Here is a 7,189-nt window from a genome sequence, read left to right on the forward strand (position 1 = left end):
TTCCAATTCCTACCTTCATTTCAGTGACAGGTGCTCTTTGGAAGACTACAGTAAACATCACCTACCATGTTGAGCAAATTCCTTCCTTTAATTCTTCAAGAAAACATTAAATATGCTGGCTTCAGAGCTATGAGTAGCATCAGTCAATGGAAGGAAATGTACCCATTTTCTGGCATGGAGCAGTAGCGATAGTTGTCTCTCCCTCAACCCAATTTATACAAAAAGGGATGGATCAAGGGATGCAGTGGAGTCATAATTGAATAAAATCTGAGAAAAATTGTACTGGATTTATCATTGGCACTGACCTAACATTGACTAATGAAATTAACCCCTGTTGATCTTTTGAAGCAGATTTCTACCAAGAAAGTGGCAGCACTTGGGTTACAGAAATAAAGCATCCTTCACAAGTGTCAGTTACTAGTGAAAGCACAAATCAAAACCATCAGCTATTATATTTGAAATGTAAAAGAAAACAATTTACAGGCCAAGTATATAAGAAACATATTGAATGTGGGAGGAAAGGAAGTAAAGATTACTTATGGAAAGAAGCATCATACCTTACAGAAGGCAACCATCTGGAAATTGCATTTTGAGTATCTGAAACAGAACTATGGAGCTGAAAAAAAAAAAGAGTAATCAGGTGTGTGATAAAGACATTAAGTAATGTTTCTCTGACAACAGAACATCAGAACAAGTCAATTTCCTCTTTCCCCTCAAGAAATATTTCAGGAAACAGAATTTCTACTCTTCTGTCTTTCTCGGCTTCTGAATATAATTAGCAAAGAGTGCAAGAATAGAAACCACATTCTTCTAATGCAGATGACTGGAAAGGCCTGCAGGTCAAGTGGAAGAACAACTCAGAGCTTCCCTGGCAACCACATATTAATAACTTCCTTTTGTTTAAACAATATTGGACATTTCTCATGAAGAGGATTTCAAAAGTATGTCTCTTGTTCTTTTTTTTTTTTTTTTTGAGATTGAGTCTTGCTCTGTCGCCCAGGCTGGAGTGCAGTGCTGCGATCTCAGCTCACTGCAAGCTCTGCCTCCTGGGTTCATGCCATTCTCCTGCCTCAGCCTCCTGAGTAGCTGTGACTACAGGCACCCGCCACCACACCCGGCTAATTTTTTATATTTTTAGTAGAGACGGGGTTTCACCATGTTAGCCAGGATGGTCTCAATCTCCTGACCTCGTGATCTGCCCACCTTGGCCTCCCAAAGTGCTGGGATTATGGACATGAGCCAGTCTCTTGTTCTTTAGAGAAGATCATGAAGTCCTTGATCCTTTGAGGGAAAACAGTACAGTACAGGTTGTTGACACAACATTTAATAAATGAGGAAAATAAGCTCCCTGAAGCATAGGCAATCATTGACTTTTAGTGGCAGAACCAGGACTAAAACACCGCTTTCCTGATTTCTATCTAATGTATAATTTTTTTCTTAAGGCATATCTGAAAGCAAGCAGTTCCTCTAGGTCCTTCATATCTGATTATAAACTCAGATCTGCAGTCTCGGATTTCCAAACTCAAATGTAACCATCTCAATCTTTGCTAGTAAATGCAATTGTAACATTATAGCATCCAAAAGATAGGTGTACTTGAAAGACACAGTTATGTAAATGTAAGTGTCTGAGCACTTAGTTGCAAGGATCCATTCCCCATGTGATTAATTTATTCAGCAGTTATTTGTTGAGAGCCTTCTATATTATAGATACCATTGTGCTGGATACTTGAAATGATCTCATCAAAAATATATTAAGAAAACATTTCAAGTTTTACTCCTATGAGTAAGATATCCACCCTCCTGTAAGAGAAACTGATCCTAAAAGAAGATGAATGGATTGAGAGAGAGAGAGAGAAGAGGAGAGTGGGGGTGTGGAAAGAAAAGTCTACCTCAGGTGAGAACTGTTCTTTGCACAATTTCAAACTTGAGAACTCTGACCAATAAGCACACTAAAAATGGTGGAATGCCTACATGACACTGTAATGAACCCAAGACAAACCAAAATGCCATATTGAAAATAAACATTCATCATTTAGATTGCCTCTGGAAGACTGATGGGACTGACTGGCATTGCCTTACCCAAAGAGTAATAACAAAATCTTATATATTTCACTCCCTTATCAGGGTTCATAAAAGGAATACAAAGTAAGTAAATGCAAATTTTACAATCACCCAAAGATCTAATATTCATAAGAGAACTAACGAAGCACAGCTCCAAGGTAGTTTTTTTTTTCTTCCTCAATTGCACTCCTCTGCACTATGAAAGGGCAACCCAGCAACTTGTCCTCCCTAAACCTCTCGCAGTCAAATCTCTGCTATCACAAAAGAGATGGACTTGAAATTCAGTGGAAAAATACCTGCCTTGGATAAGTTTCTAATTAGATTTTCTAGATGCTGCCAGGAACCAGTGATGTAATGTGCATGATGATATTCTGGAAGACAAAAGTGCTGGCTCCCTGTCTGAGGGTTCTCTAGACTGTCAGGCTACAGCCCACAGGGCTGAGGACACCTAGAGTCCCCCCACCATGCACTGGCCCCATTAATTCTGGTGCTGATTTCTGCCTGAGGCAGGAGGCAGGATGGAATACATAAAAAGGAAAAGAGTTAATAACATCACTTGAATCAAAGTGATATGGAAAATAAGCTGTGGAGGTTGCAGTCAGGTATGATAAAAAAAGAATCTATCAAATCATTTGATATTTTTGCTATACTTTAGAAATAAAATTCCACTTTTATTCAAAATCCCAATGGAATCAATTCCCAGAAAATTCCACCGGGATTTTCTTCATTCCACAGCATTTATTTGATCAACAAATCTGCCTTAATCAACTACTGTGTCCCTGGTGCTATATTAAGAGTGAATGTTGTAGAGGTGGGATTGGAATAATCCTCAAGGAGACAAAAAACATAAGAAAAAAAGTAACAAGGAACTGAGTATAATACTAATGAGAGTATCAAAGACCAGAATCTTGGTGCAAATAGCTTATTTAGATGATTCCAGAATGTGCTAAGATGAAGTGGAATAGCAAGATGGGAAAGGGAGGAAAGCCAATAGGTGTGTTATTGAGCAAGTCTCTAAAATGAGTAATGAGCTCAATCTACTGGAGACCCTCTGAGAGGAAGTGGAACACACCTGAAGATTATCCCATTGCATGATAAACGAGTTCACTATTTATCAACTCCTATGCCCCATATGTTGCAGGTAGCTCCTGGGACATTAATCCCCATACACTTCCAACCCAACCCTGTGTATGGACCAGAGAGGCACCCAGCTGGGAGGACAGCCTCAGACAAAAATTTGCAGGAAGTGCAACGGAAGTGAATCCCGAGCTATGTCGAGAGACATGGGCAGAGCAGTGACATTGTCTACTCCAGAGTGATGCAGAGGATTCGTGGTATCAGTGCTTAGGGGAGGGAGATATTGTCATAGGCAAAGGAAATCAGGGCAAGCTTTCATCTGGTCCTTTAAGGATACAAAAGTTTTTTATTATTATTATTATTAGAAAGAGTCTTGCTCTATTGCCCAGGCTGGAGAGCAGTGGCATGATCATAACTCACTGCAGCCTCAAATTTTGGGGCTCAAACGATCCTATCATTCCAGCCTCCCAAGTAGCTGAACTACAGGCATTTACCACACCTAGCTAATTTTTGTATTTTTTGTAGAGACAGGGTCTTGCTATGTTGCCACAGCATACATCCTGCCTCAACCTCCCAAAGCACTGGGATTACAGGAGCAAACACCGAGCCTGACCCAGATATAAAGGTTTTGGATATTAGAAGTGGTGAACCTCTTTTTTGTTCATGATGCCCTTTCTAATATTGGAGTTTTTCACCAACAAACTTGAAGGGCTTAAAAAGTAAACACTATTTGTTATTTAAAGCAAGTTTCAGAAAAGGAAAACATAAACCTTGTACAGTTATCACCTAATTCCTCACTCACACCTCAGTGTGATACTGCTGCCAGAGGAGACTTGTTACTGTCTTGACCAGGTTCTCATAAGGTTCTTGAACATTCTGCCAAATCTGTCCCCTTTTGTTGATGTTGACTTAAGTGATGTACTGTGTGTTAGCAGAAACTTTCATTATGGTCAAAATCACATGTATACTTACTGGAAATAAAAATGATGGTTGTACATTGATGGAAAGTTGGTGCTAGAATGCCGTGGCACACTGCTCACAGATCTATAGACGTAGGAAATGCAGAGATGCATTTCAGATAGATGGGATGCCATTTTAGGGGCAGGAATGACAAGACCTGCTTAGAAAATGCTGAATAAGCCAGTCTGACAGGAGCGGAGGGCCCACAGTGAAGAGGAGTGGGAGTTAAGGCTGCAAAAGGAAGTCACAGAGCCAGACTCTGGAAGTTCCTGAACATCAGGGGAGCACTGACACTTCATTCTGCCAGTGTTAGGGAGACACTGATGGCATTGCATGATGGCAAAGCTCTTTGAAGATGGAGGTTAATGAAGCATGTATGAGACATTGGGATGCCAAAAAGCTGAAGGCAGGGAGACCAATTATGAGGTCATTTACTACTTCAGGCATAAATTTTAAGAGCTTATAAATATTTCACAATTAATAATCAAGTGCATACAGTTCAATAGGTTTTACAAAAAGGAGCCCAGTTGAGAAAGGAAGTGGAGAAAAGAGCAACTTTATCTAATTTGTCCACCCAGAAGGGGCACCTTTTTCTAATTATAGCAAAGGAAAGCATGGGCTAGCATGTTTGTATTAAAATACATACACACACACACACACACATACACACACAGAGAGAGAGAGAAATATACAGGCACAAAGATGTGTTTGGACAAGGTAGGTAGCAGTGAAAGGGGGAAAAGTCAGATGGAAGAAACATTTAAATTGGCATTGATGATACCTGCCCCACAGCAATATGGTAAAGACATCAAAGTTAGATGACATTCTATCATTCATGGTTTAATAAACCCTATTTAATTTTTTAAAAAGTGGTAGGACAGAGTCATCAAGGTTTTAAAATATTCTTGTTAATAATGTTACTGAACCTATAAAACTTGTATAATCTCTAACTTGCAGAGCCTTGACCATAAGAAAACATGACTGACCATAAAATAAAGCAGAGAGAGATTTATTCCTTCTTTGGTAATTCAGAAAGCCTCAAAACCTTGCAGAGCTTCAGGTGATTGATGGGAATATCAACAATTACTGTATAGCTCTATGAAAAAAGAGCTCAGCATTTTATTATTTCTGGTTGTTTTAATGCCCTCATGCTTAAATTTACTTTTTTTCAAATGTGAAAATGCACACAAACACACACAGAGAGCCAAACCTGTATATATTCCTCTTGGTGCTCTTTATGACTGTTTTCATTTGTGACCTTTGCAAACAGCTTACTCAACCAAAATTAGATCAGAATGAAATCTGAAGGATGCCTTATCCTTTATTCTTTTAAATTAGCTAGGAACTAACTCTTCAATATTTACGACCACTCACTGAAAATACATCATTGTTCCACTGGTAAAATAAGGTTGCCTTGAGCAGAGTTGTAAGAAATCTGATCTGAAAATCCAAGTTAATAATCTTCACAATTCTAACAGGGCAATGTTGTAAATGAAACCAAAGTTAATAGGTACAGCAAAAAAGAATGATGACCTCTGTGGATTCCAATTAGAATAAGATATCAAAGAGGAGAGATGAAGGCTCTGGCTACAGTTATGGGTTGTAGTTATGGCTCATGCCATGAATAATAAACAAAGTTGAAAAGTTAAATAGAAACAAAATATTCCCCTCTTACTTATTCTTTAAGATCTTTATTATCTGAAGTATTATGTTAATAGTGGCAGAGCATGAGTGTTAAAGATCTATAGACTCAAATATCAGCTCTGTCACTTACTAACCAATGATTTGGTCAAGTTACTTAATGTCTGTGAGCTTCTAACTCTCTTGTCTGAAAAATAGATCTGATGCAATCTAATTTATAGGATGTGTAAAAATGCCCAACATGGACTTGCTTACATAGTAGGTATTCAAGTGCTCAATTGCTCCATTTCTTCTTCCTCTCCTTTTTTCTTAGATATAAGATAACCTTGAAGAGTGCCAGTGTATTCTGAAATGTGAACAAACCAAACAATCCTCCAAGAGTGGCTGTAAACTTCATCAATATAAGTTCTGTCTTTTAAGTAGCTGTTTCCTTGGTAAGAACTGAAATGTGAAGTGAAGAGCTCCACGGGGCAGTGTGATCTAATATATGAGACTGCGGACCCTAAGGTTGAGCTGCCTGAGTTCAAGTCCTGGCTCTATCTCTTTCCTTGTTCTTGAAAATGTTACAACCCTGAAAACTGTTTCTTGGTCCTTTACTGCTTCAGTTTTTTATCTGCAAAATGGAGAATAATTTAAAAAAATTTCTCTTTGAGTTGTGAAAATTAAATAATCTAATCTATGAAAGGAATTGAAAACAGTGCTTTATACATGGCAACCACTCAATTGAGTAAAGGCCAGTATCTTAAAATTTCAACCCTAAAAAACAGAGATTCAGGGTGATTTTTCACAATAGAGGAGTACAATTTCATTACTAAGGGATTTTTCACCAGGAATCCTTCAGAAAGTGACTCTATCTCCAGCTTGTTAACTGGAAAGATAGCTATGGTGGCAGCAGTGTGCTCAGTAGAGATCCAAGCCATCTGTGAACATTTATTAATTTTTTTTTTTTTTTTGAGAGACAAGGCCTTGATCTGTTGCCCAGGCTAGAGTGCACTGGCACAAGAATGGCTCACTGTAGCCTGGACCTCCTGGGTTCAAGCCATTCTTCTGCCTCAGCCTCCCATGTAGCTGGGACCACAGGCATGCACCATCACACCTGGTTAATTTGTTAATTTTTGTAGAGATGGGGTTTTGCCATGTTGTCCAGGCTGGTCTCAAACTTTTATGCTCAAGCAATCCTCCTGCCTCAGCTTTCCAAAGTACTGGAATTACAGGTGTGAGCTACCACGACTAAACCCCATTAATTTTTGTACTCACCATGCACAAGGCCCTGTGATAAAAATCGCAGCTCCCAAATCACTAACTGCAAAATTCCCACCAAAAATCTCGAGTAGCATGTTGGATTTCACATATATATTTACATAGATTTTACATATATATTCACAGTAGATGCTTTCTTTACACTTCATTTCCTTTTTTTATTATTATTCTACTTTAAGTTCTGGGGTGC

Source organism: Homo sapiens, chromosome 4, assembly GCF_000001405.40.
Source record: "Homo sapiens chromosome 4, GRCh38.p14 Primary Assembly".
Classification (NCBI taxonomy): domain Eukaryota; kingdom Metazoa; phylum Chordata; class Mammalia; order Primates; family Hominidae; genus Homo; species Homo sapiens.